This window comes from Homo sapiens, chromosome 14 (genome assembly GCF_000001405.40).
Source record: "Homo sapiens chromosome 14, GRCh38.p14 Primary Assembly".
Lineage (NCBI taxonomy): Eukaryota > Metazoa > Chordata > Mammalia > Primates > Hominidae > Homo > Homo sapiens.
The window spans coordinates 104,723,192-104,747,329 of record NC_000014.9 but is presented as its reverse complement, the minus strand read 5'-3'; the positions used below and the strand labels follow the sequence as shown (position 1 = coordinate 104,747,329).

Below are 24,138 nucleotides of genomic sequence, written 5' to 3'. Positions count from 1 at the left end.
CATGTAACAACTGCTCCCATTCAGTGGCCATTGGAGATGTTTATTACACTGCTTCGGCTGGACACGCAACCATGTGACACTAATGTGTCATAGAAGGTCTCTGAGCACTTTGGCTCATTTTGAATATAATTTTTAAAAATATACACAAGGCTGGCTTTCCAATGTTTAAAATCATTGTAGAAACCAACAGGTTGAACAGAAATATAAAAGTACAGAAAATGGTTTTCCTGCTTTGGTGTTGGTTGTGGCGGCCGAGGAACGTGACTGCTGCTGTTTACACAAGTCCAGACGCTGCCAGGGCCTGTTGGGATCAGCTCAGTCTGTGACTAAAACAGCTGGATCATCGACTCTCTTGACTTGCCAACACCAACCCATTTGACTGAGAGAGCAGAAAAGACTGTTATGATACACACTGGAGGCAGAAAGTTCAGAAAAAGTTGTCTTTAGTGTCGTATCTTTCTGTGTAGTTCAAATGGTAAAAGGGGCTATTTTCTCTCCAAATGGAGGCAGTTCTAATTTTTAAGTTATGAAGGTAGTGCATGTTGGGGGACTGATCCTCCCGCAGCGGAAAACAGGAGTCTCCTCCCTTCTTCCTTGGAAATGGCAACGTTAGTTACTTAGTGACTCTCCCTGCAGACCCTTTCTCTGTAGGTGCAAACACCTCTGGGTTATGAGGGTAAACATGACACACTCATATGGCTGGGATGTGTCCCATCTGTTGTTCTGGATGCGGAGAGGCAGGGGCTCCCGGCAAGGTCACACCCACACCCTAGCCCGGAGCCACACTGCCCCAGCTCCGAGTCGTCCTCCCCTCCTGCCATGCAATATATTCGCTTGGTGACCACACTTGGTTTTCTTATTGCTCACCAAGCCCTGCGCTGGGATGTGGGCCCCTTGGGGCATCCAGGGTGCAGGGAGGGTGGCTGGGGATGCAGGGCACCCACCTGCGACTCCCACGTGATTCTCCACAAAGCGGATGTAGTTCTGGGCCTGTGGGGGCAGGTCCTCCCACCTCCTGGCGCCTGTGGTGTCTGCTTTCCACCCAGGCAGCGTTTCATACTCAACTTCGACCTTCTGAAGCATCTCCTGGTTAGCTGGGGGAAGCACACAGGAGATGAGTGGGGCCCACAGACCTCCTATCACCAGGGAAGCGGATATTTGGTGACACGGCCACCCCCATCCAGGGCCTCCTTGCCTAGGGACTCAGCTGCAAGGAAGGCAGCAAGTGGGCACGTGGCCCAGTTTGATTTTCTCAGTGTTGGGTGGTAAGCAGGGGACAGCAGTGGGGCTCAGACACTACACGCCTTCCAGACCAGAGGGACATGACACATATGTGCTACCCACTCTGCTAGAACCTCCACTGTGACATCAGCTGAGGCACTCCAAGCCTTGGCTTGGAAATTCTGAGACTCTAGAATCCTGAAGCACTAAGGGATCCTGAAGCATCTGTGTCCTCCCACCCCAAGAGCATCAACTCCCAGAGGGCAGGGATCCCGGCCCTGTGCAGGACTCTGTGGCTCCTGGTAGAAGACAACCACCCTTACAGATGGAAGATGCTGGAATACGGGTTCTCGCTGCAAGTGTGTTTGAGCCTTGGAGCCAGGCAGTGTTTGCGTGTCCCCCTGGGACCCTGGACCACCATGAGGAGAGCTTGCAGTCCTCACAAGTGCAGCCTCTCAAAGGTCAAGGGTCAGGAGGGTCAGGGACACCGCCTGCAAGGACACACATGGCTCCTGTAGCCAAGTGGCCCTGTGTGGCCTACAAAGATCTGCTGAGTGGAGACCAGCCAGGAGCAGCTCGCCCAGGGCTGCTGAGGAGGAAGCCATTGTGGGGAACAGGGTCAGAACATGACCCTGGACCGAGGTCGAGGGGGCACATCCAGACGCACACGAAACTGAAACCTGTGAAACCCAGGAAAATGGCACCTCCTTCATGCTTTCCAGAAGAAGGGGTGCATGGAGCAGGGATCCCGGTTAGGTCTTAAAAATCTCGCCACAAAGCGTATTTTCTCAGATGAAATAGTCATCCTGTACGTCCGCATAGAGCTTTACATCTTCCAGAGCCGACCGCATCCACTAACTCCTGTGTGCCTCCCGTGGCTCCCTGCAGGTGGGCCTTTTCCTCAAGGCAGCTGAAGGTCCCCCAGGGTCCCAGGCGAGTAGTCTGTCCCCCTGAGCCATTCCCAAAACACTGGAAGGGGCCTACAGCCACCCCTGCCCAGCCAGGCCTCCTGGGGAACGCTGTGGGGAGAAACCCGTGAGAGGCAAAAGCCATGATGGAGGCTGGTCACTGGAGACAAGCTGCTTGCCCTGTGTCCTGTGAACGTGGGAACTCACCCCTCTCTGAGAAGTCACAGGTCCTATCTATTCCAATACCATGAAACGGCCCAACAGGCAGAACGGTTGCCCCACTTCACATACCTGGGAAATAGGGAATCCTTTTCCCGTTCAGCTTGTATGAGACACCGACTTTAACCTCACCCAGTACGTCCAGGATGTCCAGCTTCGTCAGGGCCAGCCTGTGGAAAGCCAAGGGGCCGGGCAAACCCAAGAAGTGGTCAGCAGTGCTGGGGTTTCTTCCGCTTGCTTTTGACCTCTCGCTTCTGTTACTTACAGCAGGGGTCCCCAGTCCCTGGGCTGTGGACCAGTACTGGTTGGTGGCCTGTTTGGAATTGGGCTGCAGAGCAGATGAGTGGCGGGCAAGCTAGCATTACGGCCTGAGCTCCACCTCCTGTCATTCAATTCTCACAGGAGCCTGAACCCTATTGTGAACTGTGCATGCGAGGGATCTAGGCCACATGCTCCTTGTGAGAATCGAATGCCTGAAGATCAGAGGTGGGACAGTTTCATCCCGAAACCATCCGCCGCCACACCCCTGCCACCTGCCCTGTCTGTGGGAAAATCATCTCCCGCCAAACTGGTCCCTGGTGCCAAAAAAGTTAGGGACTGCTGATTTACACTGAGTGGAAAAGAGAGATTAAGTGATCCCAAAAAAGCGCCATTGACAAACATGCCAGAGGGTGGGGGCTTCTGCTCACGCCCTGCACCTCATCTCTGCCTTTCCAAGTCCCCTGTACCTCGAGTGCCCCCCGGGACCCCTGCTCCCCCAGGCTCCACTTCTCCCCTCCCGTCCCCACACGTGCACTTTCCCCACAGCACAGCCGTGTTTAGGGCCCAGCACTGCCCTGTGTCCAGCCCGTGAGCATGGCACCCTTGTCCTAGTCACCTTCCTGGTCCCTGCCCACCCACCCACTGATGCCAATGATGGCAGCCTCCCTTCCTGGTCCATCTTCGGCACCAGGCCCTGTGCCATGGGCTCTGTTTTTCCTCCCTCCGTGGGCAAAGCCTGAAGGGGCGCCAGATGCAGCAGGCTATGGATGGGTCTGCTGAGCACTGCTGACCCTGCCTGTCCTCCATGCTGGCCCTAGCACGTGATGAGGCTGCGCCGTGAACCCTGCATCGCGCACAAGGAAAGTGAGGGTCACGGATCCCAGACGCCACACCCTCAGCTACTCGGTTCCTCTGCTTCCCGTTGCCGGATTAGCTCTATACCCACCTAGCAGGGGTCTGGTTAATTCTCCAGGAATTTTGGCTGATGCTCTCAACCCTGGTGAAAGATGTGCGACTCACAGCCTTGGCCTGTCTGACTGAGCTGGAAAGGAAGCTGTGAGCCCACCCCTCACACAAAGCCTCTTTCAGATCCCTGGGAGACAGCCCGAACAGCTGGGCAGCCTGGGTCAGTCTGTGGAAAGCAGAGGGGCCTGCAGAGCGGATGCCTCAACAGGCCGGCACCCATGCTGCCGTCCTTCTAGCAGGATGACAGTGCATCCTTTCGTCCTGGGTACTTCCGCTCTCCACATGAAGCATTTTAACCTCTCACAAGTGCCGGGATGCCCTCATCCTTCACGGCATCAGCCCTGGGGTGGGAGTTTGTGCTCCTACGGCTGGCTCCAACACACCCTGCACAGGCCTCCATACCGCTAACCTCTGGGCCGTGCTTTGTGGAAGGGTCGAGATCAGTGGAAACCTTGTCCAAGGAGACTTGGTGGCCCTCAGCCCCTGCGTCAAGTGCTGCTTGCCTCTGCAGGTGTCGGGAGTCAGGGACGGTCCCAGTGGGGATGGCAGCATGGGTTGCTTACGCAGTGAATCCGTTGACCATGTGAGCATATCTTAGAATCATCAGGTCGAGCCAGCCGCAGCGCCTCTTCCTGCCTGTGGTCACTCCCCACTCGTGGCCGCGGGTCTGCAGCAGGCCTCCAATCTCCTACATGAGAACAGGGAGGACGTCATGTGAGCTGTCGTGGGAGCCTTGTGCAGCCTGGCCCTGCTGCTCCCCCTCCTCCCTGCACACAGCTCTCAGAATCCCTGAGGGTGCCCCGCCTCCACCGACAGTCCTTACATCCAGCTCCCGGACATCCCCACACCCCTGGTAAGCCTGTCCAGCAGCTGAGGCTCACAATGGGCAAGGCCTGGCCCACAATGCCACCCGAGCCGGCGAGCGCTCTTCCTGAACACACCAGACCACTAGGCTTTGTGAGCTGGGGAAGGCACGGGCAGCCTTGCTGTCTTCCCCTCCTGCCATGGGCAGCTGGGGGAGGCGGGCCTGGCCCTGCAGCTTGGCTTTGGGGGTCAGGGGTGTGTGTATCTCCCGATATGTATCCCTGCACCCTCTCAAGCCTCTCTGGATGGCGTCCGCCCCTCCCCGTGTTGGCTTTCCCAGCACCTGCCCTTCCTCCTGCTCAGGCACAAGGGCCATGTCCTTGCCCTACCAAGGGTCACAGGTTGAGGGTGAAAGAGGAAGGCTGGGGTCTCCTGAGGATTCTGGGGCCACAGCAGCTTCCAGAAACCTTCCTGGGGCTGGAGAGCTGGGCAGGGTTGTGGGGGTTGGCTTTCAGCCCCAATTCTAGCTTGGTTGTGACAGAGGACCCCCCAACCTGGGGACAAGGCTGAGGGAAGATGCTTAGTGTCCTCTCTGAGCCAAGGTGAGTCCACCAGCTACCCCGAATGAGGGTGTCCTGAGGAACTGCAAGGCGTCCGCACTTGCCTGTGGGCCTCACACACTCCGAGGGGAACGAGGTCACGTGTACGTGTGGGCATGTGCGCACCCCGTGTGAGCTCACGTGCTGTGGCCGTGGGAACAGGCCCACCCCAGCGCCTCTTACTAAGCTCTCCCCTGGCCTGCACGGCAGGAAGCGCCCTGGTGGGAGATGGGGAGATGGCACTGGCAAGGTCCGCAGAGCCTCCACCCTGGCACTGCTCACCCCACCCCCGGCACCCCTGCCTGGCCTCCCTGTCCTCCCACGGGGTCCCGAGGGGCTGGGGACTCACGTTGATCTGCTCGGTGGGGAAGGCCCCGATGCCCACACGTGTGGTATAGGCTTTCACCACGCCATACACGTCACCTATGTTCTGCGGGGGGATGCCCAGGCCCGTGCACACACCGCCCACGGTGCAGTTGGATGAAGTCACAAAGGGGTAGGTCCCTGCAAGACAGAGCAGGTTTAGGGGGCTACCTGTCACCCCCTGTAGATTATTCCACCCGGCCCAAGAGGCCTTCTCAGTAAAGGGCAGTGGGCAGTTCAAACCGTGGGGGGCCCCCTCCGTGGGGTCGCCAGCCTGGCCTGTCCTGGTGGAGTGGCCGAATGGGTGCTGTGTGCTGGGCCATGTGGCTCACAAAAGAGTCTGGGGTGAGAGGAGGGAGAAAGTTGCCCACAGCATGGCCTGAGGTGACCAGGCCGCCTCGGGGGTGAGGGTAAGCTGGTGCGCCCGTGGGGGTGAGGACGGGATATGGCTGTACAGACCATCGGAAGGGCTGGCTCTGACCCACCTTGCCAGGCTCCCTGGCCCCACCCCTGACCTTGTCACCCTGTTCTTTCATCTCTAGCCCAGCCCTTTCTCCTCTCCCCTCCCTTGCTGACAATAGGAACACTAAGGACACGAGGATCATTTCCGCGGGCATGGATGGCACTGTGGCCTTGGAAAGCGGGTCTGCCCCTCCCTCCCCCATCGGTTCCCACGGCTCTCCGCAGCTGGGTCTTCCCTGGCAGGCACGAAAGGTCGTTGGCACGCACACCCTCCCGGACATACCGAAGTCAATGTCGAGGAGGGCGGCGTTGGCACCCTCCACCAGGATCTTCTTGGGGGGGCCGTGGAGTGCCTCATACATAAAGTAAACACCATCTCGGACCATGGGTCTGATCCGCTCAGCAAAGCCCTGCAAGGAAGGGCCAAGCAGCAGAGTGAGCCTGTGGCCTGGGGCAGGGGAGGCCTGCGTCCCAAGAAGGTTGGCCAGCCCATAACAATGCCTAGTATCAGGTGTGCCCCAAGGGTGTTCAACGAGCACCAGGTAGGACATCCAGCCTCCCTGGAGGAGCACTTCCGCAGCCCCCACACTGCGGCCCCGACTTCACCTTGAGCCTTTTGAGTTGGCCTTCAATGTCTATTTCCAGGGTGGGGAACATCGACTGGTGCTGGTGGGCCAGGTTCTTGAATCTGCACAAGGGACAGTCATCATCACCCCCTGTCATGGTCCATGCTGGTCCTCAGGGCCCTCCCCACTAGCCACAGTCCCTTCCGGCAACTTCTCCCCATCCTCCCCGGGGACTGCAGACGGCTCAGGTACCTGGAGGAAAACTCATCAAAATCTGACAGGAGGTCGCAGATGCGGAGGCCTGTCCGGGCAGCTTTGGAAGAGTAGGTTGGTCCGATTCCCTTCTTGGTGGTGCCTATACTGAAAGATGGGGAGTGGGTACCCATGAGAACCCAGGAGCCCTGAGGAGCTCAGGCATCCCACTGAGGCCATGACCCCCGCCGGCTCATGACTCCAGTGCCCACCATTGCTGCCTGTGTCTGGCTGAGCTGTGAGTGTGTGCGTGTGTGGGTGTACGCACTAGCATGGATGTACTGGTATGGTGTGTGCCTGTGGGTGGATGTGTGCATGTGGAGTGTGTGCATGTGTGGCTGTGTGTACTTTTGTGCATTTGCGTGGGTGTGTGGGCTTGTGTGGCGTGTGCACATGTGCATAACTGTGCGAGCATGCGTGGGCGTGTGGTGTGTATGTAAGAGCATGAGTGTGTGCCTGTGTGAGAGTGTGAGTGGGTAAGTGTGTGACCATCACCTCTCTGAGGCAGGACACTCATCTGCTTCACTCCTGTGTCCTTGGCACATCTGAGGTTCTACTAAACTGCTTTAGTGTTCCTCGTGTCTTCCCTGGGGCCGTGTGGAGTCAGGAAAGGTGGTGGGTGTGACAGGTGACGGTAGGGCTTATGCACTCCTGGGGGGAGCCGCGTGGCAGTGGCAGCCGGCAAGGACAGTGTGCAACCCCAGAGAGAGACGGGCTGGCTCGTCCGGGGGTTGGGTGATGCGCTGTGGAATTTTGACGGTGCCATTCTCCAGGGGCTTTGAGTGGGTTGAGGTACCCTCCTCGTTGTGCCCAGGACCAGACACGCCCCACAGTCTACCGGCTTACGGGCCCAGAAGACTCCCCGAGGGTGAGAGTGTCCCGGCAGACTTACTTCTTCCCCTCTTGTGCCTGGCGCTGCACTTCCTGAAGTCCGTCGACAGCCTGGTGAAAATCAAACACTGTCGGGCGGGCCAGGTGAGGGCAGCAGGAGACAGGAGAGAAGCAGAGGACAGATGTGTATACATGGACCTCACCTCCTGCTGGCCTGAGTCTCCTGGGAAGGGGGTGGTTGAGATTTCAAAGAGGACAAACTGGGGTGTGACCATGAGTGTCTGGGGCTCAGTCTCCCCACCTGCAAATGGGCTAGTGACCCCTGACCCAGCTCCCAACTTGAAGCTCTTTGAAAAGGGTAATGTACAAGCTAATGGAGCCATGTGGAGCAAGAAGGCCTTGGGGACTTCCCTGATCTCGGTGGCCATGTAGGAGCAGGGCCGGCTGGCAATGGTGGGGGCAGGAGGGGCTGTTCCCTGTACTCCAGTGGGAAACGTACCAAGGTGGGCTCTGTCAGAGATGATGAGCCTCTTCTCCCAGTCCTTCAGGCCTGCGGGGACACGGCACACAGGTGGGTCAGTGTTCACAGGTGCGCTGCAGCTCACACGTGAGGGGCCAGAGCTGGGCTAGCTCGCCCGGCTCCCATCCAGGTAAGGCATGCAGGGAGGAGGCTGACAGGGCCACCTCTGTTGCGCAGCAAGCGGCAGACCCGCCCCTCGTTGTCTCCTCCCCAGCTGAGACTCCCGGACCCTCACTCCACCCCGCCGCCAGGATGCCCACTCTCGTGCCTGCAGGCTTCGCCCACTCCAGGCTGGGAAGCCAGAGCTGGTGTGAGTGCCCGGCTTTCCTCCCTAGCTGCTGCCACTCTGAAGGTGACCTGCCCCCTCAGGGCCTCAGTCTGGGTACCCCCTGGTGCCCATGTCCCCAGAATCACATTCTTGCTCTTTTCACACCCGTCCCGCCCTTGAGCCTGAGGCTGCAGCTCAGCGTCCTCCCAGACCCACTCAGGCTGCCGTCCGTCCCTGCCCACACTAGGTCTGACTTGCCCACACCCCCAGCTGGTGGGTCTGGCCTCTGCGTGCCTGGCCAGATGCTCCGCAGAGCCCCCAGGAGCCACATCCTTCCCTGCAGGCATAGTTAGGCCAGCAGTCCCCACTTCCCACTGGGTGTCTGGTCCAGGTCCCTGGCTCCTTCCTGGACTTCCCAGGTGCTACCTGGCCCCGTGATGCTGAGGCCACCAGCATCTGAGGCCTCTGGGTTGCCCAGCTCACTCGCTTTCTGCGCGGGTAGAGCCGGCGGGTGATGAGCTGGGCCAGCTATGTTGGGAACCCACCCCTGCCAGTCCCCTCCGTGGGAGAAACCCTCAGGAAGGCTCCAGCCAACAACCGCTCAGGGCACCGCGTCTGGGACAGGGCAAGTCTGCAGGAGCTTGGACCTACCTTTCTTTTCATTCTTCTCTGCTTCCTCAAACAAGCCTGGCAAGTGGATGACCACCCCGTTGCCTGCATGAGAGACAGAGGCATGAGAGACAGAGTTGTGTCCCAGACACTGGAAAACATACATTAAGAACAGCATGAAATGGGTGGGTGCGGTGGCTCATGCCTGTAATCCTAGCACTTTGGGAGGCTGAGGCAGGAGGATCACTTGAGGTCAGGAGTTCGAAACCAGCCTGGCCCACATGGTGAAACCCCATCTCTAGTAAAAATACAAAAAATTATCTTGGCATGGTGGCGCATGCCTGTAATCTCAGCTACTCGGGAGGCTGAGGCAGGAGAATCGCTTGAACCTGGGAGGCGGAGGTTGCAGTGAGCTGAGATCCTGCCACTGCACTCTGGGTGACAGAGCGAGACTCCGTCTCAAAAAACAAACAAGCAAACAAACAACAACAAAAAACAACCCAGCATGAAATGGGCACACCTATGTTCATAGCAGCATTATTCAGAGTAGCCAAGAGCTGTCCATTGACAGATGAATGGGTAAGCAGAACACGGTCTACCCATACGATGGAAGAGTATTCAGCCTTAAAAAAGGAAGGAAATTCTGACACAGGCCTCGAAGACATTATGCTGAGTGAAATAAGGCAGTTACAAACGGACACAAACAGGATGATTCCGCTTATATGAAGTCCCTGGAAAAGTGAAATTCATAGAGATAGAAAGTAGAATGGGAGGCGCCAGGGGCTGGGAGAGGGAGACTGGGGAGTTATTTGATATTTCAGCATTTCAGTGTGTGAAGATAAGAAAGTTCTGGAGGTGGATGGTGGTGATGGATGCAAAACACATTCCTCGGTATTTAAGGAGCTGGAAATTGATGTCCCTGCAGAAACCTGCGCGTAGATGTGCAGCTCTATTCATAATCGCCGAAACTCGGCAGCAGTCAAGAGGCCCATCAGTAAACAAAAGGAGAAATCAACTGTGGTCCATCCAGACAGTGGAGTATTATTCAACACTGAAAAGAAATGAGCTTTCAAGCCATGAAAAGACATAGAGGAAAGTTAAATGCATGTTACTGAGTGAAAGAAGCCAATCCGAAAAGGCGACATACTGTACAATTCCAACTCTGAGATTCTGGAAAAGGCAAAACTGAGGAGACAGCATAAGGTGAGTGGCTGCCGAGGGTTGAGGGGGGAGAGATGAATGAAATGGGTGGAGCTCGGGGGTTTTAGGACAGTAAAAAATTCTGTACGATACTATAGTGGCAGATACACAGCATACGTTTGTCCAGACTGGTAGAATGTACAGCACCAAGTGTGAACCCAGAGGTGACTATGTACTCTGGGTGATCATGACCTGTCAGTGTAGGTTCATCGATTGTCACAAATGCACCGCTCTGGTGGGGCATGGTGGCTCATGCCTATAATCCCAACATTTTGTGATGCTGAGGCAGGAGGATTGCCTGAGGCCAGGAGTTGGAGGCCAGCCTGGGTAACACAGCAAGACTCCATTTCTAAAAAAAAAAAAATGCATATATATATATATATATATATATATATATATCAGCTAGGTGCGGTGGCATAAGCCTGTAGTCCTGGCTACTTGGGAGACAGAGGCAGGGGGATCCCCTGGGCCCAGTAGGTTGAGGCTGCAGTGAGCCAGGACTGTGCCATTGCATTCCAGCCTGAGTGACACAGCCAGACCCTGTCTCAAAATAAACAAAAAACAAAAAAACACAAATACACTCCTGAGCTCTAAACCCCTTGCTTGAAGATGAAGCCTTCAGAAACCCCTGCTGCCTCCCCAAGGAACCCCTTTCCCTTTGCCAGTTCCCGCTGAGGCTGGCCATGGCACAGGCTCAGCTGAGGGAGACGGGACTTCAGTCCAGACGAGAGTGACCCGGAGACGACGCAAGCCATGGTGAGCACAAAAGGTCACCCAAATGCCACGGCATCCTGAAATAAACACGCGGCAGAGGCCCGGAGTGTTGCAAGCTCAGGGTGTCTGTGTGAGCCCTGGCACGTCCTGCCGCTTGCTAAGCGGTGCCTCTTTGGCCTTGTTTCCTGCCATGTGGGGCCCAGGGCTGGGCAGGACGAGGCTGGCGGCTGGAGAAGGGCTTCCTGCAGCACAACCCGGAGCGGCCAGCCAGCGCTACTGCCCAGTCTGCCAGGGCTAGGGGCTCCTGCGACATGGCGGGCAGGCCACCTCACTGCTTAGGGCCTCCCTGCTGTGAACTAGGGACCGCCCCCACACTGTCCTGGCCCCACTGCTGGGAGGGCCAGGGACTGGGTCTGCACCCCAGGGGATGGTCTTGGGTGAGTCACTCCAGCTCAGCCCCTGACCACACATGGCCCCTGCGGCAGCCACCTCCGCGCTATCTTCCTCCCTCTGCTCACATTGAATGGGTCCAGGCCCATGCATCTGCTGGGCACACACCTGAGGCGCCTGACCCCCACTTCCTGACGGGCTGGGAAGGGGTCAGATACATCACAAGGATGGCCTTGCTGAAGTCTGGAAACAGCTGGAAGGGAAAGTACAAGAAGGGGCCTGGCTGGCTTGGCCACTGGGATCAGGAAAAGCTTCTCTGAGCAAGGGGGTTTTGGGCTAAGAGCTGAGGCCAGGGTGCACAGAGCAGGCTTCTGACCGAGAGAAGGAGGGAAAGAGCCACGGAACCCTGGGGACAGAGGTGGCTCGCCTCTTGGAGCACTGAGTGGTCACAGGTGGCTGCAGGGGAGGAGCTGTGTCCGGACCCAGGAGGGGGCAGGCGATGTGGAAGGAGGTCCCTCTGCAGCACGGACTGGGAAGGGGCTGGAACCAGGCCTGCCACGTGGCCACAGCAGCCCAGGCAAGAGGACGGCCACATGGCTCGGCAGGGCCGGGGAGGGCACGGCCTTGTCCACACAGCCTGGTCGCCACGCAGCGAGAAGCCAGGCCTGTCGCAAGCACATACTCACTCACAGGTATGCACATGGAGTCACGGGCACATGGGCGTGTGGTCTCCATGCCCACACAGGAAGTATGTGCATGTGAGGGATCAGGGATCAGGGATCAGGGATCAGGCACTCCCGCTCCTGCGCGGTGGATGTGACTCTGCCCCTCCTCCCATCAGCCCTGTGTCCTCTCAGCTGCGTTCCCAGCCCAGGCCCGGGCTATGCAGGTTTCTGTGCACCAGTGCCTGGTGGGGCAGGTGGAGGCTGGGGTCCAGCCTACTGCTAGAGCAGTCATCACCAGGCTCTGGTGCCCCGTGCCCCCATGCGTGGGGCTCCTGGGCTGGCTGACACCCCCTTTCCTGCTCACACACAGGTCGGGGCAGGGCACTCACCAATGAAGGACACGGCCTTGGTGTTGATGATGCCGCTGGGCAGCAGGTGGAAGTCGTACTCTTTCCCATCCACCACCACCGTGTGGCCGGCGTTGTTGCCCCCCTGGAACAGAAACCCGGCTGAGCTGAAGGCACTTGGGTACTGAGGACCCCCCGGACATGGACTGACCCACATGGGGCTTCGTCTGTCCCTGCAGGGCACTGCTGTTGGATTTTGGGGTGTCTGGTTTGGTGGCCAGCTCTGATGCGTCTGTGCGGGACTGGGATGTGGGCATCCTGCACCTTGGAAGGAGGGCAGCAGTTTGGTCAGGGGCCTGGGTCGGGGAGGGTCTGGCCCAGGCTGGTGCCAACACCTCCAGGTGGCTTGGTGCAGGTCTCTGCAGCTGCGGGCCCCGCTCTGGAGCTCGCTCCTCTCATGCAGGAATGAGGAGGCCTAACCCTCCCACAGAACATGAATTCAGCACCCCCACGGCCAAACCTGCCCTCACCCACTTTAGCAGAAACCCTTCCCTTTGGGCAGGCACCTCCCGTCTAAGAATGAAAAAGAAAAAGCCATTCTGAGCCAGCCCTGTTCTGGGAAACACCCAGCCACAGGCTCCCCTCTCTGGGGGGATTCCTGCTGATGGTGGGGAGAGGGCCTGGGACTAGCATGTGCAGGCTCCAATCCCCCTCCTGCCATGAGACAGCCACATGATACAAGCAAACTGTGCCACGCCCTGGATGCCACTGCCTTCGCTTCCCCAAGGGCCTCTTGTGCCAGTGGAAGCTAGAGGATAAGCTAGGGACCCTCTCCAGGTGGGGCAAGAACCAAAGCCCTCCTGCCTTTTGCTTGGCTCTGCTCAGCAGGGCACAGGTCCAGTGGGTGTCCCCTGCTGCCCCCACCCTCTGCTCCTGCAGGGCAGGTGGGCTGGTGGCATGATGGATACAGGGACACTCCAGTCCCAAGGCACGGCTGATAGGGCTCCCCTACGTGCAGGCAGGAGGCCCCGCTTCACAGCTGAGGAAGAGGCAGCATCTCTGATGGCCCATGATGGCTCATTGCCCCTGAAGCCAGGCCCCCACCAACGGCAAGGGATATCCCTACAGCACCTTTTGGTCTTTATGCCACCATAAGAGACCCCTGTAGGCCCAGTGTGACAGAGCCTGGAGGGAGCCCCAGAAGGTCTCTGCCCCAGGAGAGAAGGCCAGGTCTCCAGCCCCACTTCTGGCCAGCCACTGGATGGCATGGGGGACCCTTCCTGTTGCCCTCTCTCCTTGAGCTCCACCTGGAGGGTAAGCAGGGTCCCGGTGGGGTTGCGGGGGGCCACACACGGATACCCTGCCCCACAGACTGGTCTGGTCTCTCCTTCACTACTTCCCTTTTGGGGCCCACTCTGTCCCCAGGACCCCAGAGCCCAGATCCAGCCCCACCTTCCTGCCTCACCTCCCGGCAGAAAAGCCCTCAACTTGTCTACGCATGGGGGATTCTCCCAGCCACACCCCACTGCTCTCTGCCCGGCAGAGGGGTCTCAGCTCCCCTCCCACCCTCACAAGCCTGGCAGTGGGGTGTCTCACATAGCCTTTCCCCGCCTGCCCAAGCAGGACCCTCCGTGATGGCGGCCCCCTCCCTCTGCACTAGCTCCTCACGATGCATCTGGACAAGAGTTACACGGAAACAGCCCCGGCGCCTCGTGGCAGGGCAACCCTGGGGACAGAGGGGGGGCAGATCCAGAGATGCCAGGCAGGGGGCTCACCCTCCTGGGACGTAACTTCACACACTGGCAGATTAGGCAGCACTCAGAGCCCTGAAGCCCCTTCGCAGGGCAGGAGTCCCCACCTCCACGCCCTGACTTCTGCCTGGCCCTGCCTGGCTGGGCCCAGTCCTTATAGGAAACCAGTTCAGGACAGTGGCTCTGGGCGGGGCGGTGCTGGGTGAACTGGGTGGGGATCCTGGGAGGTGGAGAGATGCAGGAAGCCTGGTGGCAGGAGGGAGGGTGGTCTGAGGGCACCTGGAGGCCTTGTGGGAGCTAATGCTGCCAGGCGCCAAGGCAGGGTGGGGGTGGAGGGTCAGGGTACTTCTGCAGCCTGGGCGGATGGGCAGGGCTCTCAGCCTGTGCTGCTCAGCAGACGCTGAGTCAGCCCTGGGCGCACAGGTTCAGTCCATCGGGACGGGGCAGGCCCTGGCGTGACTCGAACAGATTCTGGGTTTGGGGGTCACAGCACCCTCCTGGAGACCCCCACTCTTACTCTGTCCTTGCCTCGGCACATATGTGGTAATTCCTCTCCGCTGGGGTCATGGAGTACCTTCATGCCCACGACTGCATCTGCTGCCTTTTGGGGGCAGTCAGGGGTGAGGTCTCTGAGGACAGGTAGGGAAACTGAGAGAAGGGAAGCCTATCCCTTGTACACAGCCCCGCCTGGGCGGGGGGGCAGGCGTCGAGGGATGACCTGGCAGTCAGGCCAAGTGCTGCCTACCATGGCAGAGTGCCCAGTGCCCACGTCAACAGGCCCAGGAACGCCCTGCTAGGCACACCCTGGCTCTGTTGGGGGCAAACACAGGCTCCTAGGAACAGGCGCGGCTTGTCGTAGGCCAGTGGGTGTCCAATGACCGCAGGGCCAGTGCCAGGCCACCCCTGGGAGCAGGAGCCAGCTCAGGACGCTGAGCCTGGGGCCTGCTGATCCGCAGGGGCTCCCAGTTCTGGGGAGCCCAGGACGATGGCCCCAGAGAGACACCAGTCTGTCCTCCCCATCACCAGTTGAGGTCTCAGGACGTCAGGCTGCACAGGCACGTGGTGAGAGGCTGGGGACAAGAAGTCCTCCTGCCTTTCCTCCAGCTTCAGCCTGGGATTCCCACAGCAAAGGCATCCAAGGAGGGCTGGACAAAGGGGAACAAAGGAAAACTGGTACCGTCAGGCTGGGGCTCTGCACAAAGGCAGAGCCTTCAGGTCCAGGCCAGGGTCTGCCTTGCCATGGGAGCCACCAGCCAAGGCTGACCATGAGGCTGGCCGATGAGGAGGGACCAAACATCAGGGCCAGCCTCGCCTCCTGGAGAAGCACCAGGACCTTCTTTTGGAGCTGCCTTGGGCTGCAGGTGGACGCCAGGCCTCTCAGCACGGTGTGCAGGGCAGTCCGGAGGCTGCTGCCCTCTCACAGGGCTTCCTCCTCTTGCACAGACGCACTGGTGCCTCCAGCCCCACCGGTCTCCCTCTTCTCCTTTCCTGGCCCCTGCTGGCCCAGTAGATGGGTCCATGGATCCTGCTGCAGGGGGCCCCTCAGGGTCTGCTTGTTCCAGGCAGCCCGGCCCTGAGCCCCGAGTCCTGTCACCATCCCCCCAGTGCCGAGCCCCCAGGGCAGCCGCACTCACTCTGTCTTTCCTGCCTCATGGGGATAAGTGATGGGCAGAAGAGCCAGGGCGAGTGTGTGCCACGGGACAGCCCTGCTCAGGCACGGCTCCCACCACAGCCCCTCAGGCCAAGCTCCAGGGTCCCCACGTCCAGCCGGCAGGCCTCTCTGCCAGGCACCCCTCGGCTGCCCTGCTCCTCTGAAAGCAGAGCTGAGGCACCTGAGCTCTGGGAAGGCCATGGGCACATCCATCCTTCAGCCACCACTCAGGGTCCTCTAGGGGCTGCAGAGTCCTGCATTTACCTAAGATGCCCACTGCTGCCCCTACAGGTGGAGAGGAAGCCCAGCCCTGCTGCTCCTAGGAAAGGAGCCCCCTGCATGGCCAATGGGCTGAGCCACATGCTGTGAGCTGCCATGGACAGTCACCCATGTTGCACACTGCACAACTCTAGGGGGTGCTGTCACAGAGCCATGGCATGAATGATGGCGCCTAGAGGTGTAGCAGCTGCAGGGCCACATCATGCCACCTTTCCACTGTTTGCCAGGTCAGGGACAGTAGATTAAGGTAAGCGCCCAACTCTCAGAAGCACAGTGATGCAAGGGTGCGAGTGAGAGAGACGATATGAAGATGGATGGTGCAGAACACCTGCCTTGAGTGACCTGTACCCAAAGGCTCAGACCAGGCTGGGGGCCCAGAGTTAGGGGCACCAAGGGAGCCTGGTGGCCCCCTGGCGCTCTCTACCTGCCTCCAGGTTTCTCTTGGGGTCTTCCCCTCTGTGGTGCAGGCTTGGGTCAGGACACAGCTCTGAGCCCCCACGGACACTGAGCCCCCCCCCCCCCCCCACTCTCTGCCTAGTCTGGCTTGTCACTCACAGTCCCTAGGGGACATCCGTGCCAGCTGCCTCCCTGGTGGCAGGGAGTTTAGGAAAAGAGGCTCTCTCCATCCTGGACAAGGCCCACTCAGGAACCAAACACAGCTCTGACCCCTGCTTTGTCCCTGCGGGTCCACCCAACTCACCCCTCTGGGGGCCAGGGAAGGCACGGCCCTGTGGCCAGCCCTATCTCCACTGCCCCACTCAGGCCCCTCCCCTCCAGGAGGCTGTGCGCACCCTCACACCCGCAGCACCTCTCGGGGCCACTCCCCAGTCCTCCCACCATTGCTGGTCCCTCCAGGCATTTTATATATGTACATATATTTATAAGTAAATATCTCTCTACACCTCTCTCCATATCATCTATCTATCTATAGTCTCCAGGGCTGCCAAAACAAAATACACAGCCTGGACAGCTTTAAACAATGGAATTTTTTTTTGAGACAGGGTCTCACTCTGTCGCCCAGGTTGGAGTGCAATGGTGTGATCCTGGCTCACTGCAACCTCTGCCTCCTGAGTTCAAGCTATTCTACCACCTCACCCTCCCCAGTAGCTGGGACTACAGGCGCCCACCAGCATGCCCAGATAATTTTTGTATTTTTAGTAGAAACCGGGTTTCACTTGGCCAGGCTGGTCTTGAACTCCTGACCCTAAGTGATCCGCTCGCCTCGGCCTCCCAAAGTGCTGGAGTTACAGATGTACGCCACCGCACCCACCCGCTCCCCTCCAGGTGTTAAGGATCCGGCTCCTGCAGTCCTCCTGGGCAGGCAGGTGTGGCCTCCTGCATTTGACCCGTGGCTCCTCCAAGCCCTCTCCTCTCCCAGCGTCACCCTAGTTGGGCCTCCACAGGCACTGGGAAGGTGAGGGGTGGGCTGAGCTGGCACGGAGTGGCCACTCAGTAACTGGAGACTCCTTGGAGGCAGCCAGGGGAGGGCTGTGCTGTGAGCTGGGGACGAGCTGAGGGTCAGGGCCAGGTTCGTGGGCCTCTGCCCACCTCCTTGCCTCTGGGTTGCCACCCCACAGCTCCTCCCCACCATGCCGACGCCACGCTCCTCCCCACGACGCCGACGCCACGCTCCTCCCCACGACGCCGACGCCACGCTCCTCCCCACGACGCCGACGCCACGCTCCTCCCCACGACGCCGACGCCACGCTCCTCCCCACGACGCCGACGCCACGCTCCTCCCCACGACGCCGACGCCACGCTCCTCCCGACGCCGACGCCACGCTCCTCCCCACGACGCCGACGCCACGCTCCTCCCCACGACGCCGACGCCACGCTCCTCCCCACGACGCCGACGCCACGCTCCTCCCCACGACGCCGACGCCACGCTCCTCCCCACCACGCCGACGCCACGCTCCTCCCCACCACGCCGACGCCACGCTCCTCCCCACGACGCCGACGCCACGCTCCTCCCCCACGCCGACGCTACCTCCTCCCTCCCACGCCGACGCCATGCTGCTGACACGTGCAAGGCGTCTCCACACACAGGCTTTGTCCTTGCTCCTCACCTCCACACTGCCCAGATGGCGCATGCCCTGCCCCTGCACTGAGCTTGTCACCCGTGCGGGTCCCAGCCTTGCCCTGCAGCCATCGTCCTGCTCCTGTCCACCCCGTCCCTAAATCCTTGGGATGCCACCTGCCATCTGCCTGGCTTGGGGGCTGTCCATTGACCTCCTTTGACCTGCCAGGGCCCCCTCCACTCCCGGCCCACTTGCCACTGCCCTTCTCTGCCCTGCAGTCCATAGGCCCTTTACTGCCATGGATGACTCCTCTGGCCACAGCGTCTGCTTGGCCCAGGGTTCCCAAGGAGGCCCCTTTCTCCCCTGCAATGCAGCCCCCATCGTCAGCCCTACCTGCAGCAACACCTGGACGAGGCTCGCTACCTCCCATGCTCCAGAGCCTTCTCCTCCCCACAGCGTTAGCGGACTGCATGTCTGACGGCGCCGTGCCTCAACGCCACTGCACTCTGCCCGCTTCCCCCTCGGCCCTAGCTGTGCCAGGCCCATGCTATACCACCTCCTGGTTCAGCTCTCATGCAGGCTTGGGGAGGAGGGGACAGTGGAGTGGCTGTTTGCACCTCTCCCCCTGGAATGGGAGCGACCAGCTCTCCTGCCTCTGTGTCCATCCCCAGCCCTGGCCCAGGGCCTGGCTGTCAGCGAGCTCACGCCAGGCAGTGAAGGCAGCAGAGTGGCAAGCGCAGGGGGAGGCCGGCGGTGCTTTTCAGAGGCCGTGAGGCTCCTGGGCCCAACCTCTTGGCACTGGCACTCAATGGCAGTTTGTACGACGACTGTGCCCGGCACAGAGCAAGGGGCCCTGGCGCCCAGTGTGCACACACCTGTGACTACCAGTGTGGTGCAGTGGGTTCACCCACTTACACTGCTTCACTCCCTTCTGGGCTCTGCTTGCAGGCTCCCACCATTCATTCATTCCTTCAACCCAAAGGAATTGTTCTCTGCCCCTTTTGGTAGTGGGGTGAGGTCTGGGACAGAACCGAGGTCACTGCTACAGGTGTGCAGGTCTCAGCTGCCCGGGACTGGTGTTCCTGCAATGAGGCAGGGCTGTGTGTAACTGCAGGGACCCTCTGTCCTGGAGCCACGGCCCAGTAACCAGCACCATCAACAGTGCAGAGGTGGGGTAGGGGGAAGACCTCTTTCTGGAAGCAACCCCAGGCATTCCCTGGCCAAGGCAGCTGCCCCTCTGACTCCCAGAAGGTCTCTGGTGCACCCTGGAGCCTAAGGCAAAGCGTTACCTGATGGCCCCTTGGAAAGGGTGCCCAGAGCCCCAACAGCCACAGCACAGGGGCCCTCAATGCACAGGATGCCAGCTCCCACCTGGCGCTGCCACACCACAGAGAAACACCCTGTGATCTCACACCCCTGCATACATGGCCATAGCTTTCCACCCGTCTGCTGGCTGGACACTGGCTCTAGCTAGACCTGGAGGGCACGGGAGGCTGGGAGTGCGCTATGGAGACCCAGGGCAGGCCCCTTCAGCCCGTGTACTGGGCATGGCCAGACATAAACAGCCCAGTGCCCTGAGGTCAGCACTGCAGCAGAAGGACGGGGATTCTAAACCCTGACCAGGGCGCGCTGGAGCCCTGTGGTCCTCGGCAGGGAGCCCAGTTATCCAGAGGAAGTATCTTGGAGATGGAAGGAGGAACTAGGGGGTGAAGGCCGGGCACTGCCAGCCTGGGAACAGGGGGCAGGGGAGACCCAGGTGCACCTGCCTTCAGCTGCCCATTTGAGGGGTAGGAGCTGGACAGCACGCAGGGGAAGGAAACGCCATGGACGCAAGGGAGGAAGCACAGGCGGAGGTACCTGGGGACCCCCTCGGAAGTAGGATGGGGTGTCCGTGCCCAGAGAGAAGAGAGGGAACACAGGACCCCAGCACAGACAGGCAGACGATGTGATGTGGCCGCAGAGCAGGGAGGGCAGACCTGGCTCAGAGGAGACTCAGCCTGGAGGGGAGAGAGGCTTGGAAGCAGCCAGGGGAGCAGGCAAGGAGGAAGATGGCATAGTGGGGCCAGGGGGCATAGTGCAGCCGAACAGACCCAGAGCCGCCCTGGAATGGAGGAAAGACAGCCGAGGTGTGAGGTGGGGGTGTGGTCAGAAGGTGGGGGATGCAAAATGTAGGCTCAGCCTGGAGAAGGGAGGCCGCCCAGGAAACAGGTCCTAAAGGTGGACCCAAGGCGGGAGGCTGTGGGAGGTGACGACACTCTCAGGGGCCCCCAGATGCACTCTGACCACAGGCCCCAAACCACCGGGATGGGAAAAGAATGAGGCGAGCCGTGCGGGGCTTTGGGCAGCCCCAGATCACCTCTGGGCAGAGTGGAAAGTCCATGTCCAGGGTGAGCAAAGCAGCAACTCTTGCCAAGTGCCAGGGGCCACCAGGGGGCTTGAGAGCTGGGCTCGAAGTGATGGCTCTGCTGGTGCAGGCGTCAGCAGCAGGCAGAGCCAGAGCCTGGGTGTCCAGAGGCTTGGGCAGCCAGGGAAGGAGCATAGCCAAAACCCAGGGTGGCCCCAGGCCCAGGTGACCCTTTGGGGACTGGGGAGCAGAACAGGCTTGTTGCCAGGGCTGGCAGCTTCAGCCCTCCTGGCAGCCAGCCTGCCTCCCAGATGCGGCCCAGCCCGCTCTGCCCACGGCGTGCACTTTGACCACCTGGACCACTCGGCCCTCGCTCTGTCCTCTGCTCAGCCCCTTGAGTGAGAGGGTGAGGTTTGGCCTCTGTGCGCCTGGAGACCCCCATGTCGGGTACCTTCATCTGGCTTCAGGCATCCACACTCCAAGTAAGAAAGACGCAGTCTTCCCTGGGGAGATCCAGCCAGACCCTCTGCCAGCCTCTGACGACATGGGGTGGTCAGACATGGTGTGCACAAGAACAGGGGAGGTGCTGGGAGCCCGGTGGTAGGGGAGAACCCCCACCGCTAGGAGGAGAGATGGGCACTGTGAGGTAGGGGTCACTGAGCACTTGCAGAGAGCCTGGGGCTGGGGCCCCAAAGAAGACCAGTCCCTGACCTTCCCTTGCAGAGCGGCGCCCCGCTGAGATCCAGCTCGGTCCCCGCACTCGCAGGTGGGGACAAAGGGCCAGGCCCTGGGCTATCATGGTGGGCACGTGGCACCAGTGAGGGCTCCAAATGTGGCAGTGACTCATTCCTCCACGCCTGAGCCTCTGTTCCCCTGTGAAGGAGCTCTTCAGGATGATCCTGCCTCACTGGCTCGTGAGGAGGCTGCAGGGGGACAGGTGTGGGCTCCAGGGACAAACCTCTTTTATTCCCACTCACTTGGAGAGCCAGGGGCTCCCTCAGGCTATAGGGTGGCCTGGTGGGGGTGGCCTGGCGGGGGCAGCCTGGTGGCCGGAGTGCGGGATGGGCTCCAGCCTGCTGCATCCTCCGTGCTCCCGTGTGCAGCTGCGAGTGAGCGGGGCTGTGGGGGGACTGGGTGGGGGGCACAGCAGGGAGTGCCCAGATCCAGAACCATCTCCACAGCTGGGAGCGCGGAGCCAGGTGAATGCTGTGTACAGCACCTGTGGGGGCCCCAGCCCGCCCTGCAGAAGTGCATGGCGCCCACCAGAGCTGGCAGCTCATAGGGAGGGGCCTGGGCCTCACGGGAGCAGAGAGGTCTAAGGAGGGTCAGGGGCCGGGGCTGCCCCACGCTGAGGGCGCCCTGGAGGGTGAAGAGCAGTAGAGCGCTGGACATGCCCCCTGGCGGCCCAGGACAAGGTGGCGGGGCAGAGGCAGTGTGGAGGGAGCATGGGCTGAGGACCACCTCTAGGACCTGGGGGATCTCTGGAGCGAGGGATGTGCTTGCCTGCTGCTTAGGACGGAGAGCAAGGGGGGAGGTCCCCCACTGTTCCAGGAAGAACTTTCTAGGAAGCCACAGTCCCTTCCGGCAGGAGGGGCTCGGACAGCCCTGAGCCACACAGGGTGCTGGGCTGACTCCCTTCGTCTTGGGCCCCAGCCCTCCTCTCTGGAGCTCAGGAAGGAGGCCACAGAACCCGGAGAAGGGACGGTGCGGGGGCCCTTGTTCCATTATTGGCAGCAGCCCCAGGCAGGCTCCAAACCCCAGACGCGTGCATCCCAAAGTTGACCCCTTTGTGCCTGGAGCTGTAAGTCAGCCCATGGGCAGCAGACTTGGCTGCCCTGGCATGGGGCATGTAGCCCCAGGGTGGCGGCCCGAGAGAGTGCCCAGTGTGCAGCTCAGTCAGAACAGATGGGGGCGCTGAGAGCAGCTGCCGGCTGGCAGAGGCCCAGCCCTGGGCCCTGGGGGACAAAGCAGGTCTGGCCTCCTCGGTGGCACTGCCAGCCACGGGGTCACCCTGGCCAGAAGTCTGTGGCCCTCCCTCTCCCATGTCTGGCTAGGATCGTCCCAAGCACCCTCCCTCAGGCGCGGCCCCAATTGCCCCCCAGGACGGCCTGGCCCCCTTCCACCTCTGCCTCTCCTTGGCTGACTCACCGGGGTCACCCCCACCCAGCAGGCAGCTTTTACCCCCTCCACCACCTGCAGACCTTGCGGGGAGCCAGGTAAGCCCTATCCCAGACCCAGACAGGCCCCAGGTGATCACTGTAAATGAGGAAGGGGGGTGTCTTGGGGGTCCTCAAACCATCCTGGGGCTGGGTCCTCTGGTTCCCCCATGGAGGGTCCAGCGTCACACCCATGGCATGCGCCACCCCCTAAGGATCGGGTGTCCCCAACTCAGCGACTTGTATTTATAGCTGTGCCCTGGCCCGCTGCCGGGGTGGTGGAGTAGGGGTGGGTGGAAGGAGGGCGGTGTGTGTGGGTCGGGGGTTGTGTGAGTGGTGCGTGTGCGTGCGTGGGTGGGGTGGCCCTGGGAAAGGTGCTCCCGGAAGGAAGGCATCCAAGCGGGTGAGTGACCGGCCAGGGCATGGGAGGACAGGGGCCGTCTGGGTCGGGGGAGGGGGGCTCGCTGGGCGGTGGGGGAGGGACCCGGCGCCCCAGCCCGCACCTGGCAGCGGCTGATGATGTCGGCGTCCGTGGCCAGCAGGTCCACCACCTTGCCTTTGCCCTCGTCCCCCCACTGCGCGCCCAGCACCACCGTCACGCGGGAGCCGGTCGCCGCCGCCTCCTGCTGCAGCCGCCCCCGCTTGACGCCGCCTGCGCCGGGGGGCCGGTCGTTGGAGGCTCGGGTCCCCGACATGCTGGCTTGGCTCTTCCGCTGCGCTGGCCCGGCCAGGAGCCCGCCGCCGCCGGCGTCCGCGCCATTAAATGGAGCCGGGCCGGGGCAGGGGGCGGGGCAGGGGGCGGGCCGGGGGAGGGCCAGGGCGGGCGCAGTGACGCCCCGGTGACCTCCGGCCGCCACATCCCCGCCCCCTCGCCGCTGCCCGGGAAGCCCAGTTGAGTCTCGAGCACTTTAGGGGTGAGGGGCCGCACGGACCAACGGCCAGGCAGGCAGATGGCCTGGGGAGCCGCCCCCACGAATTTGCCAACGGAGGCAGTTTCTCGCTAGCCCGTCGGGGACCAGGGCTTGTGCACCGCGACCTCACCCCCCACCAAGCCCTTGCCGGGCCCAGGACTTCGGGGTTCCAGCAACTGCAGGGGTGGTCGTTCCCTCCAGGGAAGGAGTGCGGTTTGCAAAAGGGGAGCTGCGTCCTGCACCCCACCTAGAGGGTCCGCACTCTCGAGGAGCGCACCTGCCCCCCGTGGAACCCCGAGTGCCCTGGGCGCGGGCGCGCCCCCTGGCGGCCGCGAAGAGCCGCGCAGCGCGTCCTCTCCGAGGACTTTGTGTCCCCGCAACTGCCCGCACTTCTGCCCCACGGCAGGGGCCCCGCGTCCCGCCCGGGCGCGCTGTGGCTCGGGCCTGGCTGTAGCGAGCAGGCGGGCTCCAGCATGGAGCTCCGGCCCTCAGCACCCAAGTCTGGGGTAAAGGGACCCATCCTGTCAGCGTCACCTGGCTGGCATGGGAGCAACCCCCAGGGATGCACGCCACCGTGGGGCCCAGGTTCCCAAGAGGTCCCACACCAGACCTTCCCGGCCCAGCCTGTGGAGGGACTAGGCCCCAGAGGGAGGCGATGGTCTGCGAGGCTCCCGTGTTCCCGGCTGGTTGTCCTGTCTCACCCATCCCGCCCCACCCCTCCCAAGTAGATGAGGCTTGGAGGAAGCCAGCCCTGGTGGCCAAGAGAAGGGTCCTGGGGCCCCAAGGGCGGAAAAGAGAATCAGGTTCTTGCTTCAGAGCAGGGAGGCGGGGTCCTTTGTTCCCTCCCTGACGGCTCTCAGTTG

At 61.1% G+C, this 24,138-nt stretch overlaps 1 protein-coding gene and 2 long non-coding RNA genes across 9 annotated transcripts, besides 4 other annotated features; 2 read left to right on the top strand and 1 right to left on the bottom strand.

Annotated features, from left to right (window-relative positions):
* On the bottom strand, positions 5-23,101 carry ADSS1 (adenylosuccinate synthase 1). Of its 7 annotated transcripts, none has more exons than XM_006720026.4 (14): positions 22,868-23,101; positions 12,208-12,310; positions 8,892-8,954; positions 7,952-8,002; positions 7,656-7,675; positions 7,514-7,563; positions 6,622-6,729; positions 6,410-6,491; positions 6,087-6,213; positions 5,328-5,482; positions 4,139-4,263; positions 2,421-2,518; positions 945-1,094; positions 5-379 (listed from the first exon to the last, which is right to left on the bottom strand). In XM_006720026.4, the coding sequence occupies exons 1-14, from the start codon at positions 23,057-23,059 to the stop codon at positions 327-329; spliced, it is 1,377 nt and encodes a 458-aa protein (XP_006720089.1). In that variant the 5' UTR covers positions 23,060-23,101; the 3' UTR covers positions 5-326. The 7 variants fall into 7 exon arrangements, with proteins under 7 accessions (XP_006720089.1, XP_011534714.1, NP_954634.1 ...); XM_011536412.3 differs by lacking the exon at positions 22,868-23,101 and adding an exon at positions 17,117-17,486; NM_199165.2 differs by lacking the exons at positions 7,656-7,675; positions 22,868-23,101 and adding an exon at positions 17,117-17,486 and having other exon boundaries at positions 7,514-7,580.
* Positions 467-966: an enhancer, noted in NCBI's record as "H3K4me1 hESC enhancer chr14:105212701-105213200 (GRCh37/hg19 assembly coordinates)". NCBI's record gives its function as "activates a minimal SCP1, AML or CMV promoter by ChIP-STARR-seq in naive H9 embryonic stem cells {active_cell/tissue: H9 hESC(naive)}" and the evidence as "EXISTENCE:reporter gene assay evidence [ECO:0000049][PMID:30033119]".
* Positions 3,327-4,132: an enhancer, noted in NCBI's record as "H3K4me1 hESC enhancer chr14:105209535-105210340 (GRCh37/hg19 assembly coordinates)". NCBI's record gives its function as "activates a minimal SCP1, AML or CMV promoter by ChIP-STARR-seq in primed H9 embryonic stem cells {active_cell/tissue: H9 hESC(primed)}" and the evidence as "EXISTENCE:reporter gene assay evidence [ECO:0000049][PMID:30033119]".
* On the top strand, positions 5,661-6,186 carry LOC107984670 (uncharacterized). The gene is made up of 2 exons (XR_007064366.1): positions 5,661-5,751; positions 5,923-6,186. It is a non-coding gene; the product is annotated as an uncharacterized LOC107984670 (long non-coding RNA).
* LOC124903396 (uncharacterized) lies at positions 9,816-12,762 on the top strand. Its single transcript, XR_007064365.1, has 3 exons — positions 9,816-10,052; positions 10,715-10,805; positions 12,189-12,762. It is a non-coding gene; the product is annotated as an uncharacterized LOC124903396 (long non-coding RNA).
* Positions 21,354-22,054: an enhancer, noted in NCBI's record as "H3K27ac-H3K4me1 hESC enhancer chr14:105191613-105192313 (GRCh37/hg19 assembly coordinates)". NCBI's record gives its function as "activates a minimal SCP1, AML or CMV promoter by ChIP-STARR-seq in naive H9 embryonic stem cells {active_cell/tissue: H9 hESC(naive)}" and the evidence as "EXISTENCE:reporter gene assay evidence [ECO:0000049][PMID:30033119]".
* Positions 22,885-23,294: a silencer, noted in NCBI's record as "silent region_6195". NCBI's record gives its function as "represses an Ori minimal core promoter by ATAC-STARR-seq in GM12878 lymphoblastoid cells {active_cell/tissue: GM12878}" and the evidence as "EXISTENCE:reporter gene assay evidence [ECO:0000049][PMID:35858748]".

Bases quoted from the DNA above. Each gene is read 5' to 3' on its own strand.
- ADSS1 (XM_011536412.3), bottom strand. From the start codon at position 17,437: ATGGTGGGGAGGAGCTGTGGGGTGGCAACCCAGAGGCAAGGAGGTGGG. The intron at 12,311-17,116 runs GTGGGTGCGGTG...TTTCTGTTCCAG, and splicing joins TAACACCTGGAGGGGAGCGG to GGGGGCAACAACGCCGGCCA. The intron at 6,730-7,513 runs GTAAGTCTGCCG...CCCATCTTTCAG, and splicing joins CAGGCACAAGAGGGGAAGAA to TATAGGCACCACCAAGAAGG.